Source organism: Homo sapiens, chromosome 1 (assembly GCF_000001405.40).
Source record: "Homo sapiens chromosome 1, GRCh38.p14 Primary Assembly".
NCBI lineage: Eukaryota > Metazoa > Chordata > Mammalia > Primates > Hominidae > Homo > Homo sapiens.
Genome location: NC_000001.11, coordinates 224,402,176 through 224,422,450, shown reverse-complemented (window position 1 = coordinate 224,422,450; position 20,275 = coordinate 224,402,176). Strand labels below are relative to the sequence as shown.

The 20,275-nt window shown below is 38.1% G+C and overlaps 1 protein-coding gene across 3 annotated transcripts in view; it reads left to right on the top strand.

Moving 5' to 3' along the window:
- The window catches only part of WDR26 (WD repeat domain 26), a 49,652-nt gene that overhangs the window by 12,347 nt on the left and 17,030 nt on the right, over positions 1 to 20,275 (top strand). For all 3 annotated transcript variants that reach the window (NM_001115113.3, NM_025160.7, NM_001379403.1), the window contains exons 5-8: positions 2,836 to 2,933; positions 4,035 to 4,191; positions 10,886 to 11,024; positions 17,881 to 18,021. In NM_001115113.3, coding sequence (NP_001108585.2) covers positions 2,836 to 2,933; positions 4,035 to 4,191; positions 10,886 to 11,024; positions 17,881 to 18,021 — 535 coding nt within the window. The remainder of the gene's footprint in view (positions 1 to 2,835; positions 2,934 to 4,034; positions 4,192 to 10,885; positions 11,025 to 17,880; positions 18,022 to 20,275) is intronic.

Here is a 20,275-nt window from a genome sequence, read left to right as displayed (position 1 = left end):
AGCCACTGTACCAGGCTTCACTCTTAATTTCTTAACAATGCATATTTCACACAGCAGCCAGACAAGTAAGCAAAACCATAAATGAAGTCTTTACTCCCTTGCCACTGGCTCTCCAGCAGTCTTAAAACCCAAAATCTCTGTGCAAGGCCACAAAATCCCTGATCCTTTTCTGCCATCTTTTTCTTTATTCATTACTCTAGTGACACTCATGCTCTTTCTGTTCCTTAACTTGCCACCCCTTAAGGCATTTGCACTGCTTGTCCCCTCCATCTGAAATGTATGTCCCCCAGTCTTTGCATAGCTGGGTACTCCTTGCTCAGCTCCCAGCCCAAGCATCATCATCTCCCAAGATTACCCACTGGGTATTCTCGTGACATCACTCTGTTTTTATGTTTTTTCTTTATAGCATTTTTCACTATATGATATGGCTCCAGCATCGAGAACAAATATGTGACACACGAGTTTGTAAATACAAAATGATGGACAAAAGAATGGGCCCAAGATAAGGGCCCATTCCTTGCAGATAAGGAAACTGAGCCTCAAAGAAGTTAAGTAGCCAGCACAATATAAAGCTAATAATTCAGAAAGCAGGACTCAAAGCCTGGTTTGACTGATTCCAAAGTCATTGGTCTTACCCACTACCACATCTTGAAACAATAAATTCTACAGGTTTTTTTCTTGTTGTTTGAGATGGAGTCTGGCTATGTTGCTTAGACTGGTCTTGAACTCCTGTGCTCAAGCAGTCCTCCCACCTTGGCTTCCCAAAGTGCTAGGTTTACAGGCACAAGCCACCACACCTGGCCTGCTAGATGTTTTGATATGGTAGCTGACAAATTTCTTGTTCCGATTACCTTTTTTTTTGAGACAGAGTCTCTCTCCATTATCCATGCTGCAGTGTAGTGGCGCAATCTCGGCTCACTGCAACCTCCACCTCCTGGGTTCAAGCAATTCTCCTGCCTCAGCCTCCCAAGTAGCTGGGATTACAGGCATGCACCACCACGCCCAGTTAATTTTTTTTCTGTATTTTTAGTAGAGACGGGGTTTCGCCATGTTGGCCAGGCTAGTCTCGGACTCCTGACCTCAGGTGATCCTCCTGCCTCATCTCCCAAAGTGCTGGGATTACAGGCGTGCTGATTACCTTTTTAATGCGGTATCTGATTTCTTTGTCATCGGAATATCATTCACATGATGATTTTTTTCCTGCTCTTGTGTCAGAACATATAATTAGTCATATGGGTTTTATTCTGAAGCACACCATGAGTTTTTCACCTAAGGAAATGGCCCAAAGGTGGTGAGATGTGGAACTGGGATCAGAACCCAGGGTTTCTCCTTCTCAGTCCAATGTCCTTTTAGTTGTACCATGTGACTTTCTGTAAACAGAAATTCATTTAAAACTTTAAGATTTAATATGTATTTTCACAAGGACATAGAAGCAATTCTAAGTCACTTTTGTAAAATTTTAAAAATGAACATTTTAAAATATAATTATTGATAATAAACTTTGCCCAAAAAAAGTTGTTTTAGAAACAAAATATTCACAATGGCCAACTTCTGGCTGGGCACGGTGGCACACGCCTGTAATCTCAGCACTTTGGGAGGCCGAGGCGGGCGGATCACGAGGTCAGGAGATCAAGACCATCCTGGCTAACATGGTGAAACCCTGTCTCTACTAAAAATACAAAAAAACACAATAGCTAACTTCCTATAGCGTTTTTGAGTATAATTACTTACATTATTAAATAAGTTTTTTTGATCAGTTAAAGCACTATTTATGTACTAAAAATCAAGAGGAAAAGTAGTTCTGCTGTTTGGGAAGAGACTATTAAATCATTTAGATTCTAAATGAAATATGCTTTATGCAGTTAAGAAAGGGAGGGAGTGATGATACTCATGTTAACTGAGAGGTATAGCAGGTCGTAGACTAAGTACTTAAAATGCTTCATCTTCAAGAATCCTCATTACCCTATTTAATATTCTTTTTACAAGTGAGAGAAACAGATTTGTCTGGCAGAGCATGAGACAGAATAGCAGGAGAGTTACTTGCCAGGTCTAATCTCCATGTTTGAATAATACCTTCACTTCTTTTACTTTCAAAGCCCATTCTTCTGAGAAGAACCAAAACCAGGTCAGGGTCACACTCCCAGCAGGGGCCCCTCATGTATTCTCCAGAATCTGTGAACTTTAGCATTTATCCCACCTTCTGTACATACAGTGAGCAATAAAACAGTTCCCCAGTTTTGTGCTCTGGGATCTCAGTATCTTTCACAAGATGACACAAGGATGATTATCCAGTTATACTATTTTTTGAATGATGTTTATTATAAAGTCTTGAAGATATGTTCTTTGAGTTTTATTTTACTATTCAGAAGTAGTTAAGTTAGCCTAGTGGTTAAGAGCAAGTTCTACAGCTGGAATGCCTGAGTTTATATACCTACTTAGCCTCTTAACCCTAGGCCAGTTACTTAAGCTTTCTGTGCCTTGGTTTCCTCATTTATAAAAATAGAATAATAATAGTGCTTACAGGGTTGTTATAAACATTAAAGGAAGTAATATGTGTTGAGTGCTAGAACCTGCACAATAAGAGCCATATATATAATATATAACAATAACATAAGAATTTGTTCTGTTAATAGGTAATATATATATAGGTATTGTTACTTTACATTTTAGTAATTATATGCAGGTGCCATATTATATTAATGAATTGAGTCCACTGTAGAAATTTCTTGACATGTATTAGTAAGAAGCAGATAGCCAGATGGTCAGTACTTTTCAATTACATTTATTACAAAGAAATGGGTTTAATATTGGTTGCTTTCTCTGTTGTATTTTTAGGTATCTGATGTGTAGCCATGCAGAAGACCTACGTGCAAAAGCAGAATGGGAAGGCAAAGGGACAGCTTCCCGATCTAAACTATTGGATAAACTTCAGAGTAAGAGTCTTAATTTTTTATGTTGCTGTGTTTTCTCTTAGATTACAAATGGATACAGTGATCAATTAGGAAGACAGATGGGGAATATCTGGACATACTTTTATTGAGTGCTTAGAAGAGGGAGAATCCAGTTTTTCAGACTCTGTCATGGAGTCTAAGAAGCTAACCTCAGGAGTCAGTGAAAGGGCACTGGTTCCAGAGCAGCCCTTCTTTCATTTGTATTATGTGATGATGTTCCCCCTTAAGATTTTGTTTGGGGGAAAAGTACTGTGTTAAGAGAAAAAAATATGTAAACCACAGTTTTAAGTCACAAGTGCTTTAAAGATTTTGTTGATTTCAATAGTAAGGTCCAGGTTTCTTTAGGTAAATTGTTTTATTCTTCCCCAACCATGTTATGTTTATTCTAGATTGTAATGCAGGTTTCATTTTTGCTGTATTTTTATGTAAAAGATGTTCTCTCTGAAAATTATATGATTCTATAATTTTGATGTTGAAATGACAGTGACGATCCTAAGAATCACAAAGCCGTGCAGTTGGGGAGGTATAAGGGATTCAAGGATTGCAGTAGGTTGGTATGGATATCAAAACACCAGTTACTCCCTGAATTCACACAGTATCTTTGGCATTTGGAGCAATTTGTACTTGATCTTAGCCAAAAGGCCAAGAGGCGATTTTTAGAGCAGTTTGATGGGAACTAGAACTTAACCTATTGCAACATTTGCCAAAATTTTGCTATTTGTTAAGTGGAGATTTTACTTACACCTGGTCTCCTGGTACACAATAATATCTAATATTCTTTTCATTGTTGTCTTCTTTTTCTTCATTTTGTTGTTGTTATTCCTCACTTATCCTCCCTGCCCCTAGAAAATCCACATATAAAGTAAACCCCTCCCACCAAATATATCCAATTTTATGAGCAGCATAGCTATTGCTGCTGACAAATATTCGTAAAGCTCACGTATCGCATAACGCAGAACTTCTCTATTTAAGGAATAGATACTATTGGGGTAGGAACAAGTACAGCAGAAGATGAGCAAATGTCTTAAATAAAAGTTTACAGTTTATTATTATTTCTCTTTTTTAAAATATCTTCTATTAAAGCCTATTTACCACCATCAGTGATGCTTCCCCCACGGCGTTTACAGACTCTCCTGCGGCAGGCGGTGGAACTACAAAGGGATCGGTGCCTATATCACAATACCAAACTTGATAATAATCTAGATTCTGTGTCTCTGCTTATAGACCATGTTTGTAGTAGGTAAGAGGAAAACTTCCTATATTCTGAAACAGCCTAACATTTTACAAAATTTTAGTTTTCTTTTTTAGAGTCTTATCCTGTAGCTATATAACAGTTCATGTCTGATTTAGCATTTGTTCACGAGTAAAGCTGGAACTATGAAAATTGAAAATTATGAGAAATTTCTGTATGTTTACTTAGTAACCATACCTTGAGAACTGAAGTTGGGAAGCCAGTTTTTCGTTATCTATAGGTTTGGTTACTTGTTTCCTGTGTCTGACAATTTAACTATGTCCCAAATTATTTACTGCACATAAAGATCATGGTAATACTTTTTTCTTAATGAAAGTTCTGCTTTTTAGTAGAAGACAGGCTCTAAAAATGGCTAGAACAACAGCTATTAACTTATGGTTTGGGTTTTTTTTACCATGTGTACCCATGTCCATAATTTAACTTGTAAGAATTCAGGCTTCTCTTTCGACATTAGGAGTATTTTGAGTAAAAATATACCTACTATTTTAATGGTCTCTAAAATTAAAGTATAGCTTTATTTTGTTCTTGATGTTTTTGTTGGTTTCTTTTTTAGACACAGCCTCTCTGTTGCCCAGGATAGAGTGCAGTGGCATGATCATAGGCTACTATATAGCCTTAGGCTCAAGTGATCCACTCACCTCAGCCTTCTGAGTAGCTAGGACTATATAGGCATGCACTACCATGCCTGGCTAATTCTTAAGTTTTTTTGTAGAGATGGGGTCTCTTGCCCCAGCTGGTCTTGAACTTCTGGTCTCAAGCAATCGATACTTCTGCCTTGGCCTCCCAAAGCACTGGGATTACAGGCGTGAGCCTCCATGCTGGGCCTAAAGCATAGCTTTAATTTTAAGATATCGAATAACAAATTGTGAAATATTTCAGACTTCAAGAATGAAATAATTTGAATCTGGTGAACCAAACAAAAAGGAGAATAGAGAATAGCTGCAATGCATGTGCTCAGTTGCTTTTACCAGTGATATCAAAGAACTAATGAAAGTAACATAAATAAGGACAAAAACATATTAAGTATGAGGACTTTGGAATAACGAGGAACTTCTGAATAACCGTAAAAATTGTCTATATATGCATATCTCTACTGTGATATAAAATAATTTTTTACATGTGTATAAACCACTTTTGTACCTATTGAGTTTTTAACCTCACTCTCCCTACTTGAAGTACAAAAATAATAATTGTTTGAGATATTGGCCTTACTTTATCTTAAAATATTAGATTATTACTTGGTACATATCTTAAATATTCTACAAGGAAGTGATTAGAAATTTTTTCCCCTATCCCTTTTAAACTCTTTAATAATGTTCATTGACCTGCTTCTGAGGATTTAAAAATCTTTTTGTATAAAATTGAATAGCAATAGGAAGAGATAATAGATTAAAAGACTATATAGTTTCATGGTTCATAGCTCCATTCGCAGATTTGAGAACAGTGTTAAAATTAAGACGCTTGTGAACCCAAATCTTTTTTTGGTTCATAAATTTAAATATTTTGAAAGGTTGTGACTAGACATAATGGTTCAAGAGGTATCAGTACGTTAAGAGCTTGCCCTCCTGTTTGGAAACTGGAATCTATGGGAACATGACCAAAGTGTTTTAACATCTACATCAGTACCTATGAAACTAAGTGATGAAAAATACTTAATCTAACTTTTTCCAACCCTCAGGTCAGGGACCAAGCTCTCATAAGCCTGTGTAGAAAAGCAGTCCAGGCTGGGTGTGGTGGCTCACGCCTGTAATCCCAGCACTATGGGAGGCTGAGGTGGGTGGATCACGAGGTCAGGAGATTGAGACCATCCTGGCTAACATGGTGAAACCCTGTCTCTTCTAAAAATACAAAAATTAGCCGGGCGTGGTGGCAGGCGCCTGTAGTCCCAGCTACTCGGGAGGCTGAGGCAGGAGAATGGTGTGAACCCAGGAGGCGGAGCTTGCAATGAGCTGAGATCACACCACTGCACTCTAGCCTGGGCGACAGAGTGAGACTTCATCTCAGAAAAAAAAAAAAGAAAGAAAAAAGCAGTTCAGAGTTTTACAGAGGAATGAAAGCATCCTTTTTCTTCTGAAATAACCACTGATTAGAAGGTCTTCTCTGTAATCTTAAAACAAAACCTTCACTCTATGCTCCTACTTACCTCTCTTTCTCTCTCCCCCTCCACTTTAGAGCTGACTTCTTGAAATCATTGCCTACTACACATTCGCAATGTCTTTGTCCTTACTTTTCCTTCACTCTTCATATTTCTTTAGTATTAGGACCTGTGTAGCTAACATAATACCAGAATTGTAGATGTTGGTGAGAATACCTCTTTCACATTCAGTGGATATTTTCCAGCCTATATCTTCACCTTACTATAGCACTGTACTACTTTACTTTGAAACTTTTCCTTTGACTTCTAAAACATTCTAGATTCTTAGTTTAACTCCTGGCTACTCCTTAGGCTCTTCTTCTTTACCTGTCCCTTTAAGAAATACATGTTCCAGGCCGGGTGCAGTGGCTCACGCCTGTAATCCCAGTATTTGGGGGGCCGAGGCGAGTGGATCACGAGGTCGGGAGATCAAGACCATCCTGGCTAAAATGGTGTAACCCTGTCTCTACTAAAAATACAAAAAAAATAGCCGGGCATGGCGGCACACGCCTGTAGTCCCAGCTACTCAGGAGGCTGAGGCAGGAGAATCACTTGAACCTGGGAGGCAGAGGTTGCAGTGAGCAGAGATCACGCCACTGCACTCCAGCTTGGGCGACAGAGCAAGACTCCGTCTCAAAAAAAAAAAAAAAAAAAAAAAAAGAAAGAAATACGTGTTCCAGAATTGTTTCTTCCCTCATCCTTAGTTATACTTCCATGGTTCTAATGACAACTAGATACAGGCCAGAGCTACAGAATTTATCTCCTGAGCCTTAGACCTTAATGCCACAATTTGGGTTCTCAAGTACATTAAACACAGCATGTCCGAAACAGAACTTCCTTTCCCTCTCACCTATTTTTGCAAAATCTGCTTTTTCTTAAATTCCCTACCTCAGTGAAAAGCAACCATCTACCCAGTTTTCCCAAACCAGAAAACTTGGAGTCAGCCTTAGCTTTTTACTGTAGAGATTTTAAAGTCACTAAGAGAATAATGTCAGACATTACGTTATATACACAGTCTTGAGAGTGAGTTATGCCCTTTATTGCTAAACTGCAAAAATAGAACCTGAATTTACTTAGTTATTTTTTAATTAAAAAAAGTTTTTATTCAACACATGATCTTGCCCTGTAGCCCAAGTTGGAGTGCAGTGGTGCAATTATAGTTCACAGCAGCCTTGAACTCCCGTCTCAGCCTGAGCAGCTGGGGCTTCAGGTGTGGACCACCACACAGCTAATTTCAAAAAAAACTTTTTTGCTTTGTTTTTGTGTTTTCGTTGTTGTTTTGTGGTTTCTTTTTTTTGGAGATGGGGTTGCTCACTGTGTTGCCCAGGCCAATCTCAAACTCCTGGCCTCAGGTGATCCTCCCACCTTGTCCTTCCAAAGTGCTAGGGTTACAGGTATGAGCAACCATGCTGGGTCTGAACCTAAATTTAATTCCTATTATTTATCTAAAAGTCTTCAAAAGAAAAGTTGCTAATTTTTATTACTTTCTTTACTCTTTTAGAAACTAGATTTTAGCATTGGAACTAGAAAACTATTTTCGGAAATTAAATCTTAGCTTTGAAATTAAATACCCGCTTTTTTCTGGAGAATAAAGAATTATGAATAAATGAATTATTCTGATTAAAATTATTCTGATTAAAATGAATTATTCTGAATAAAAAATCCTGATGTACATTGAAAAGGTTTATTAGATTGTATACAATTTCTAGGCAGGGCATGGTGGCTCACACCTGTAATCCCAGCACTTTGGGAGGCCGAGGTGGGGAGATCACTTGAGCCCAGGAGTTTGAGACCAGCCTGGGCAACATGGCAAGACCCTGCCTCTACTAAAAATACAAAAATTAGCCGGGTGTGGTGGTGGGTGCCTGTAATCCCAGCTGCTGGGGAGGCTGAAGCAGGAGAATTGCTTGAACCCGGGAGGTAGAGATTGCAGTGAGCCGAGATCGTGCCACTGCATTCCAGCCTGGGCAACAAGCGAAACTCAGTCTCAAAAAAAAAAACAGGCCGGGCGTGGTGGCTCACGCCTGTAATCCCAGCACTTTGAGAGGCCAAAGTGGCTGGATCACGTGAGGTCAGGAGTTCGAGACCAGCCTGGCCAACTTGATGAAACCCTGTCTCTACTAAAAATACAAAAAAATCAGCCAGGTGTAGTGGTGCGCACCTGTAATCCCAGCTGCTGGGGAGGCTGAGGCAGGAGAATCACTTGAACCCAGGAGGTGGAGGTTGCAGTGAGCAGAGATCGCACCACTGCACTCCATCCTGAACAACAGAGCGAGACTCCATCTCAAAAAAACAAATAAAGATAAACATTAGAGGAGGAAAAAACTATTTCTGATACTGAAATTGCTTATTTGATTGGAATTTTGTCCAGCAGTGCCTTGAAAAATATGATTTTAAAATGGTATTTGGAAAGAAAACTGGTCTTGGAGTCAACCATAGGTCCAAATCTTAGTACAATTACTTATCAGTTTTATAACATCTGGTAAATTATTTGTCCTCTTTGAGCCTCATGAAAATGGGGATAATAGTACTTCCATGAGCAATATTATATGTGAAGTGTCTAAAGCAGCATTTGGCACCTAGTAATTGCTTAATAAATGTCAGCTAGTATTGATTATTTTATCTAAAATCACACATGTATAGTAGTAATATTAAAGCAATTTAATTTAAAAATCTGAAAGTTTAAAACAGCCTGCAAATACCCATCTGCTAAGGTAGATTGCCATGTGTACCAAATAAAGAATGTTAATTTATTTTTAAATGTATATTTTGTTTCAGACTGGTGAATTGACAAAATGTAATTCTAAATTATTGATTGGGAAAAGAAGCAAGGAAGACCGTGTTTCAAGATACACTTAAAGGTGTATCCATTATTGTTTAAATAACGTTTTTTTTGGGGGGGGGGGTTTTTGTTGTTGTTGTTGTTTGAGACTATCTCACTCTGTCACCCAGGCTGGAGTGGAGTGGCATGATCTTGGCTCACTGCAACCTCCACCTCCCACATTCAAGCGATTCTCCTGCCTCAGCTTCTTGAGTAGCTGAGAGTACAGGCATGTGTCACCACACCCGACTAATTTTTGTATTTTTAGTAGAGATGAGGTTTCACCATGTTGGCCAGGCCAGTCTTGAACTCCTGACCTCAGGTGATCCGTCTGCCTTGGCCTCCCAAAGTGCTGGGATTACACGTGTGAGCCACCATGCCCAGCCTACTCAAATAACGTTTTTTATAATACAGAGAATTTATAAGGTAGAGCTGTTCTGTCTAAACAGTAGCCACTAACTACATGTGTCCATTTAAATTCAAATGTAAAATAATTCAAATTAAATAAATCAAGTTCCTCCAGCTTACTGGCCACATTTCAAGTGTTCAATAGCCACTTGTAGTGAGGGCTACCATATTAGATAACACAGGTATATAGCATTTCCACTGTCACAGAAAGTTCTGTTGGACAGTTGATATAGAGGTTGGAAAAGAATGATTTTTTTTTAAATGAGTGCTTAATGAAAATAGTCATTTAAGTTGGTAAACCGGATCATAAATCACAAAATGCTTTGCCCTTGATATATAATATTAGCTGCCATTTATGAGGTACTAGCTAAGTGTCAGATTCAGTCTAAATGGTTTATAGTCATTTTCTCTTCCTCTTATTTCATCCTTGGGTAAGGAATTCTGTAAGGCAGATACCTTAATCTTTGTTTGATAGTTGGAAAAATTGAGATTTAGAGAGGTTAATTTAATATCTCAGAATCATAGCTAAGTGACTGAGCCAAGATTTAAATCTAAGTCTGTCAGACTACTGCTCCCATTCTTAAGGCTTTGCTCTTAACTACTGCACTCCTTGCCATATATTGCACTTCTCCTGTGCATCCCCCCAAATATTATTAATCACATTTGAGTATCTCTTACATTCCAGAAATTTTAAATGTATTTCTAATTCTTACAAGAATTCTAAGAACCCTGTTAGGTAGATACTAATCTCCTTTTGTAGATGTGGGAACTCAGGCTAAGAGTTGTTAAATAACTTGCCAAAGACATTAAAGCTTGTGAGTGAGAAGGACCTAAACTCATTATCTGGAGCCTATTCTGATTTTGGTTTTGGTTTGTTTGTTTTTTGAAATGATCTCACTCCATCACCCAGGCTGGAGTGCAGTGGTGCAGTCATAACTCACTGCAGCCTCTTAACTCCCAGGCTCAAGCAATACTTCCCCCTCAGCCTCCCCAGTAGCAAGTAAAAAAAAATGTAGCTGGGCCTGGTGTCACAGGTCTGTGGTCCCAGCTACTCAGGAAGCTGAGGTGGGAGAGTCTCTTGACCCCAGGCGGTCAGGGCTACAGTGATCTATGATTGTGCTACTGTACAACAGTACAGAGCCTGGGCAACAGAGAGACCCTGTCTCAAAAAAAAAAAAAAGATTTACAAATGCATTCACTTCTTATTTTTAAAGTTAGTGATGTGATCTTCAAAGAAGTTTTGTCAGTTATTTAACCTTTTTTATTATTATTACTCTAATCTGTTTTGAAAGAATAATTTGTGGACCTCTTTGTTTTAGGAGGCAGTTCCCATGTTATACGCAGCAGATACTTACGGAGCATTGTAATGAAGTGTGGTTCTGTAAATTCTCTAATGATGGCACTAAACTAGCAACAGGATCAAAAGATACAACAGTTATCATATGGCAAGTTGATCCGGTATGTACCCCAATATGAGTGTTTATATTACAAAAGGGGATAATTTTGAATCTAATTCATTGATTACATATTTTTAAGTATATATGTATCAATAGTATTCTTTTCTAAGAGCATTTTTTATCATTTTTACATCTTCATGTGTTGTATAGATAATATATGTAAGTTAATATTATCAACATTGTTGAGTGTTTATGTGCTAACAATAATGTTAAATCTGTGTATGCATTATCTAATTTAATATTCTGAAAAACTCTGTGAGGTGCTAACATCTCCTGCAGTCAGATGAGGAAACTGAGGTAGAAGTTAAATGCTTTGACTCTCACAGCTAGTACGTGACAAAGTTTGACTCAAATCCCGGAATACCTTGACTCCAAACCCACTGCTATTAACATATCTGCCAATTTATATCTTTGTTAATACTTGGTTGAAAGATTAGGCCAGGCACGGTGGCTCATGCCTGTAATCCCAGCACTTTGGGAAGCCGAGGCAGGAGGATCACTTGAGCTCAGGAGTTCAAGAGCAGCCTGGACAACATAGAGGAGAGTCTGTCACTACAAAAAATTAGCCAGGCATGATGGTACACACCAGTCGTCCCAGCTATTCAAGAGGATGAAGTGGGAGGATCACTTGAGCCCGGGAGGTGGAGGCTACAGTGAGCTGTGACCTTGATACTGCACACTCAAGGCTGGGCAACAGAGTGAGACCCTGTCTCAAAAAAAAAAAAAAAAAAAAGAAAGAAAGATTAATACAATGTCCATTCTGTCCCAACCACAAGTTAGAAAAGACTCATTACTCTTTTGCCTTCTGAAGCCCATCATTATCTTGTATAATTTGTGGACCTTGTTGTGTAATCCTTTCCCCCTTTGTTTTCCCATTGATATATATGAAAAGTATTTTATTCTGGATTTAAAATTGTAAGTTCCCTCTAAAATCAGATAAGTGTTCGTTTATAACCAGATGACCTATGGATTTGTTGTGGGTAATAAGTATTTTCATTTATTTCAACTAATTGAACATTTATCAAGTGATCAAAGGAGCACATGACTCCGGATAGGTTAAGGAACTATATTTGGTTTAGGAGTCATTCACCTAAAATAAACTTCTTTTCTTTTCTTTTCTTTTCCTCTTTTTTTTTTTTTTTTTTTGAGACAAAGTCTCGCTCTTGTCCCCCAGGCTGGAGTGCAATGGTGCGATCTTGGCTCACTGCAACCTCCACCTCCTGGGTTCAAGGGATTCTCCTGCCTCAGCCTCCCGAGTAGCTGGGATTACAAGCGCTTGCCACCACGCCTGGCTAATTTTTGTATTTTTAGTAGAGATGGGGTTTCACCATGTTGGCCAGACTGGTCTCAAACTCCTGACCTCAGGTGATCTGCCCTCCTCGGCCTCCCAAAGTGCTGGGATTACAGGCGTGAGCCACTACGTCCGGCCAAATAACTTACTTTGAAGTTTAGAATTAAAATATGCTATTAGCTCAGGATAAAGTTTTGGGCTCCCGTGTTGAGAAAAATAGAAAAAGGGAGCCACAGATGGAAATAATTTTTTTTTCTTTTCTTTTTTTTTCTCTGAGACAGTATCTCACTATGTCCCCCAGGGTGTAGTGCAGTGGGGCAATCTTGGCTCACTGCAACCTCTACCTCCCAGGTTCAAGAGATTCTTATGCCTCAGCCTCCCAACTAGCTGGGACTACAGGCAGGCACCACGACGCCCAGCTAATTTTTTCATTTTTGAAGTAGAGACGGGGTTTCACCATGTTGGCCAGGCTGGTATCATATTCCTGACCTCAGCTGATCGCCCACCTCGACCTCCCAAAGTGCTGGGATTACTGGCGTGAGTCGCCATTCCCAGCCTAACAGTTCTTTTTAGAAGAGAAGTGAATTTGAGAGCATACACCAATTCTTGCATACCTATGTATGCTACAAACAATGAAAGGTAAATAAGATACATTCTTTACCATAAAGCAGTGGTTCTTTACCTTTTTTTGGTACCACGTACCTCTTTGGCAGTTTGGCAAACCTATGGACTCTTTCTCAGAATATGTTTAAATGCATAAATCAAAGCACATAGCAAGGCCAAATATATGTTATGTATTCATTACTAAGGAAAGCCAACTATATTGATATGTAGTTAACATAGTACAAAAACATTTTTTATTTTTATTTAATGCTTTATTAATGCATTAAATAATAAATTCTAGCAGCAGATATAAGTACCAGAATTTTGAAGTAGTGATGAGCATAAATATTTCAAAGTATCTGCAACAACTATAATATGATATGAAAAGATGTAAGATTTCTCTTGTTAATGGAGTCACCTAATACTACCTAATTTAGTATACTAGCTAGTATACTACCCACCACTACCTAATATACTACCCTGTGTAATTACTAATATACCCAGTACTGCCTAATACTACCTTGTTAATTGCCTGCATTTGAGAGTGAAGGAAACACCAAATTTCAGGCTGTGTTTAATAATAATAGAGTTGTGTCTTTTTCTCATTTAAATTCATAGACCCCTGATTCTATCCCTGGACCCATTCTTGTAGATCTCAGGTTTAAAATTCCTGTGAAAAAAATGTACCGTTTAAATGAAAACAAAATTCAATGAAATAAGCATGATACATAATAGATAATACATAAAGTATTATGAAAGCGCAGGGAAGCTTTACAAGTCGAAATACCTCTTGAGAGTCTTACTGCGCATCACACAGGTGGACAACAGGAAAGTGGCATTCTAGGAAGACAGAAAAACCTCTTGCCCTCCTGTCCAACTCCAAAAAAAAAAAAAAAAAAAGAATGGGATGAGTAATGGCAGAGTGGGAGATTAGACTAGAAAAAGAGTTTGGGATCAAATCATAGCCTTTGCATACTATTCTGAGTTCTGTTTTCATTCACCAGTCATTTATTTGCATGATATATGAAAAAGAAGGTAGTAATACCAAAACTGTGCTTTATTAGTTTTTCCTAGTAGCAGTGTATAAGAATCCCCTTCATTTAGCCAGTATTTATTAAACACCTGTTGTGTGCCAGGTCTTTTGCTGTAGACAGACTAAGCACATGATAATACACCGTAATTTATAGTGGGTGCTACAGGAGCTCATCAAAGAGAGCCTACTGGAACAGCAAAGCTAGGGAAAGTAAGAAAAGTAAATATTAGGTGAAGAAGAGGTAAAGAACTATTTAGGCAAAACTAGTTAGGATAGGCCCTTGGGCAAAAGAAAACGTAACATGGCATTTAGGTGGTTTGGGGGAAGAGTTTTAGGTAGACTAGAGTTGAGGTTAATTAAATAGCAGCCAGATCAAGGAGGAGCTTTTGTATTCTTTGCTAAGAAGTTTAGACTCTTATGCCAGTGTTTCCCAGAGTGTTTTTGCAGGAATAATGGGTATGCAGAATTAATAGGTGTTACATGTAAAGGGCTTTTGTTGCCAGATTAGCTTGGGAAATGCAGAGTTAATGCTTACATTCCAATATGAAACAGAGAGACTTTTAGAGACTGTAATTTTTAGATAGCTGTATTATAGTGAGTCCTCTGGGACTGTTTGGTTCTTTTGGTATGATGGTATTTTTGTTATGTCAAATACTGTCTGAAAAAATTATAAGAAAATATGTGTTCTTTTTGGCCGGGTGCGGTGGCTTACCGCTGTAATCTCAGCACTTTGGAAGGCCGAGGCAGGTGAGTCACCTGAGGTCAGAAGTTCAAGCCAACCTGGCCAACATGGTGAAACCCCATCTCTAGTAAAAATAAAAAAAATTAGTCTGGCATGGTAGTGCGTGCCTGTAGTCCCAGCTACTTTGGAGGCTGAGGCAGGAGAATTGCTTGAACCTGGGAGGCGGAGGGTGCAATGAATTGAGATTGCGCCACTGCACTCCAGCCTAGGCGACAGAGCAAGACTCCATCTCAAAAAAAAAAAAAAATTTATATATGTATATATATATATATGCCCTTTTTGAACGTGTGTGTGTGTTTTAATGGAGAGAAAAAAGTACATTTAAGAGAGCCTTAAAATTTGAGTTGATGTGATTCCAATGCCTACTTTCCTTTAACAGTTTTTCTTTGCCTAAAAAAGATGAATTTTACCCATTCCCCGCAGAATCCAAGCAAGGTCATATAGGCTCCACAAACATGTTATTTCCACTTTGAATAAATTAGTATAAAGGCACTGTGCTAATGAAGATATAGTATTGTTTTTGTTTTCAACTTTATCTTTTATAGGATTATATTTTTTTCATTCATGTACATAAAAGTTTTTGAGTTATATATATATATATATATATTTTTTTTTTTTTTTTTTTTTTTTTTTTTTAAAGACAGAGTCTCGCTGTGTCGCCCAGGCTGGAGTGCAGTGGCGCAATCTTGGCTCACTGTAACCTTCACCTCCCGGGTTCAAGCAATTCTCCTGCCTCAGCCTCCCGAGCAGCTGGGATTACAGGCACCCACCACCACACCCGGCTAATTTTTGTATTTTTAGTAGAGACAGGGTTTCACCACATTGGCCAGGCTGGTCTGAAACTCCTGACCTCAAGCTGTTCGCCTGCTTCAACCTCCCAAAGTGCTGGGATTACAGGCATGAGCCACCACACCTGGCTGAGTTAAATATTTCTAAAGGAGTTTGTCTTCAGTTTAAAAGCAAATCTTTGTGTTGATCTGGGGCAGTACTGTGAATGAAAATTTGTTCCTGGAAGATCTTGAGCTAGTCAGGAAGACTTGACTTGCTTAGTAAATTATTTAAACCATTTTGACCTAATGATATTGCTGATCTAATACAAATACCTCTTACCCACTTCCCAAAGAAGAATCAGAAGTAGTCGCATTGTTAACTATTCAATTTTATCAAAACAATGGTGATTTGGACTAGATAATTGTATGAATGATAAACTTAGGGTTCAGTGAAGAAACAATAGTGTAAACATAATCCATTTTGCAATGACATTTCTTAGGAGGGGAGGAATCTCCAACCTAATTTTATCAGACTAGTTCCCAACTTTTTTCAACTGCTGGTGGGTCATCCCATTGGAATTTCCCCCCCATCCCCCCAGGCTCAAAGCTAAACTCAATAAATCTTAAGACTAAAGTCTAAAACTTACTGTTTCTTCCCACCTTTAGTCAAATTCTTACTTCCTCTATTTCTTGTAAACATCCATCCCTATCCCCTAAACCAGAAATCTGGAGGTTGTCTTTGAAGATTTTTTGTTATTTTCTGTCATGTCATTTTTATCTCCACAATATCTTTTTTTCTTTTTATAACAGGGATCTCCCTATGTTGTCCAGGTCGGTCTTGAACTCCTGGACTCAAGCAGTCCTCCAGCCTCAGCCTCTCAAAGTATGGGCATGAGCCATAGTGTCCAGCCCAAAATATCTTTTGATTCTGACCTCTTTTAGTCCTTAACATCTTACGTTAGGGCCTCATTTTTTGGGAACTGACTGTGAACTATGTATGGCTCATTATGGTTCCATTGTCCCTTTATGGTTGCCTTATCCTGTGTCTTTCTGATTCATCTTCCACATTGTTATCCTAGTTCTCTTCCTAAAGCCAAATATCACACTGTATATTCCCTAGCTTACAAATTTTAAGTGGCTTTTCACACACAGGGAAAATGTAACCCCTTAGCCTACAACAAACATGTCAACTCTTGCAGCCTTGTCACTTGCCACGTCTACATTTGCACTTCACAGTTCAGCTTGCATAGCATACAATATGGGCTTTTAAGTGAGGCAGCCCAGATTCAAATCCCCATTGCACTACAAACAGGCATGTTTCTAACCTTTCTAAACTTTCGTTTCTTTCCCTATAATATGAGAGGGGGTAATATTCTAGATTTGTGAGAATTAAATGAAGTATTGTTTATGAATAGTGCTAGTAGTGGTTAGCATTAATAAGTGGTAGCTTTGCTGGTAGGATTGTAAAATGGTGCAACCACTTGGAAAACAGTTTGGCAGTTTCTCAAAATGTTAAACAGAGTTAGCATACGACCCAGAAATTCCACTCCTATGTATATACCCAAGAGAAATGGAAACATATGTCTACACAAAAACTCATACATATTCATAACAGCATTATTCATAATAGCCAAAAAGTAGAGAAACAGTCCAAATGTTCATCACCTCATGAATGGATAAACAAAATAATTATACTGTTAAATATTATTCAGCAATAAAAAGAGATTAAATACTAATACATTCTATAACACGGATGAACCCTGAAAACATGCTAACTGAAAGAAGCCAATTAAAAGAGACCACATCATGTATAAGCCTATTTATGTGAAACGTCCAGAATAGGCAAATCTATAGAGACAGAGACAGAAAGTAGTGGTTGCCAGGGGCTGCAGGGAGGGGTATGGCAGCTGCTGATGGGTAGGAGGTTTCTTTGGGAAATGATGAGAATGTTCTAAAAATTAGATGGTGTGATGGTTGCACAACTCTGAATATACTAAAATATACTGAGTTGTATACTTTAAAAGGATGAATTTTATGGTAAGTTATATCTCAAGTTGTTTAAAAATATGTAAGAGATAGCTCTTATTATACCCATCTGTTTTCAGTTGCCTTGAAAGCTTTCTAAGGTCAAATTCAATATATCTTTATACATATATTAAAAATGTTAATATATCTTTATATTTTCATCAAGTACACAATGACTTGTATATAGTAGATGCCTAATAGTGTAGTAGATGCTTAATAGATGTTGCAATGTGAATGAGTCTTTATGAAGCAAGCTGTTAAAGGGAAAATTGGTCTGAAAATTTCCTCAGATTAAATTATCAAAGTACATCTTTGTAGCTATTTAAGTTCTTACATTGGGAAACAATGACTTTAGTGATAGGGGTTAACTGAATTGTTTATTTTCCCTCCCAGGATACACACCTGCTAAAACTGCTTAAAACATTAGAAGGACATGCTTATGGCGTTTCTTATATTGCATGGAGTCCAGATGACAACTATCTTGTTGCTTGTGGCCCAGATGACTGCTCTGAGCTTTGGCTTTGGAATGTACAAGTGAGCGAGTTCCATCTTTGGTTGAGCTTTTAAGTACAGCATAGTCATAATGTACATATTCATTATAACTTTATTGATTTATATAATATAACCATTCAACCTAAATTACTATACTGTATCTCTTAGTTATTCAAGTGGAACCCAAGTTTCCAGATTTATCAATTTAAGTATTATGCTCAGTAATATATTTTTGGAAGAATGATCAGTAAGTGTTTTCAGGATGTTTGGCTTTGTCCTATGGAATTTATGCTATTTACTGTGGTTCTTCAGAAAGAATTTTATAATGGTTTCATAGTTTCACAATTGTACATTACACCTACCTTTGAAATGTTAAAGGTCAGCATTAAACCAAATTTTCGATTCTGATGGCAGTTGCACCATCTCCTTGCCTATATTTAATATACTAAGCTAGTTTAGTGAAGCTAACTGATGTTTTCAGTACTTATTCCTAAGGGCTTTATTGCTTGGTTTGTTCGTTTGTTTGTTTGTTTTTGAGACAGAGTCTCGCTCTGTCGCCCAGGCTGGAGTGCGGTGGCGCAATCTCGGCTCACTGCAGCCTCCACCTCCTGGGTTCAAGCGATTCTCCTGCCTCAGCCTCCAGAGTAGCTGGGATTACAGGCACCCGCCACAACGCCTGGCTAATTTTTGTATTTTCAGCAGAGAAGAGGTTTCATCATGTTGGCCAGGCTAGTCTCGAACTCTTCACCTAAAGTGATCCGCCTGCCTCGGCCTCCCAAAGTGTTAGGACTACAGGCGTGAGCCACCGTGCCCGGTCCATTGCTGTTTATATATGAAAATTTGAATTTTATGCAGGGTCCCATTTTAGGAAAAGTCGGCATTAGGTTCAGTTTGTTATTTACAGTTCATGTTTTAGAAACCCTGTAGTTATAATAGTAAGACTGCCTTGCTGTCAGTCATTTCCTTGTTTCAACTCCAGCTTTTTATTAAGAAAATTTTCAAATATTAAGAAAAGTCAAAATAGGACAATGATGATCTATGTGCCCACCACTGTAAATTCAACAATTGTTAACATTTTGTGATATTTTGTTTGTACATACATGCATAGAAACATGCATTTGTGGCCGGGCGCGGTGGCTCACGCCTATAATCCCAGCACTTGGGGAGGCCGAGGTGGGTAAATCACGAGGTCAGGAGTTCAAGACCAGCCTGGCCAAGATGGTGAAACCCCGTCTCTACTAAAACTACAAAAATTAGCAGGTGCAGTGGCAGGCGCCTGTAATCCCAGCTACTCGGGAGGCTGAGGCAGGAGAATCGCTTGAACCCAGGAGGCAGGCTGGGATCGTGCCACTGCACTCCAGCCTGGGCAACAGAGTGAGACTCCCATCTCAAAAAAAAAAAGAAATGTGCATTTGTACTTACATATATATTACATATATATACATATCTAAAATATTTGAAAGTAAATTAGATATCTTACCCTAAATACTTAAGCATGTATCTTTTAAAAAATAACGTTCTACCTATTCAAACATTATGATATCTAAGAACATTAACTATAATTCTCTAATATCTAGTACTCATGATCAAAATCCACAATTGTTCCCAAAATGTGTTTTATGCCATTTTTGTCAAATCAGCATTTAATCAATGCTGTATTTGTGATTGGGTTCAGGGAGGTGGCAAAACATAGAGTAGAATGTTAAAATTGCTTTCTCTCAGTAAAACAGAGCTTGCAGTGAGTCTGACCTAGAAGATCAATGAAAACTTTTTTCCATTAAAGCTTTCTTTCCACCTTCCAAAGGAGAAAGTATGTTGTCTTAATCCTGTAACAGAAATTTAATGTAGAGTGCCTTTGTAGTCTTCCTTTGACCAATTAAACTGTGTTCTAACATAACTTTCATTGTGTAGTACTTTATATACTTAAAACTTCTTCTAAAAGGGTGATCTAATCAGTTTTCAGATTTCTTTAATCATTTCTTAAATTAGAAAAATCCTTTCTAATCTAATAACCTCATGTACTCACTATTTAGAGCATAATAAGAGAAGACAAACCATTTCTGCCTTCAGAATTTAGTGTGTTAATGTATTTGTCAATGGAAAATGCCAAGAATTTAGCTATTGCTTGTGTATTTGTGCTCTAAACTTTCAACTGTTTATATCAGTCAACCCAAAAGAGTAAATAGGGGAGAGTAGTTAACAATTTGGGGGAAGGATTTATATTGCTGAACACTTTTTTTCCAGTGTAAGGGAAACCTGGTTTTCTGTTTTTGTGCCCTCTTTTAGTACTTGGCCC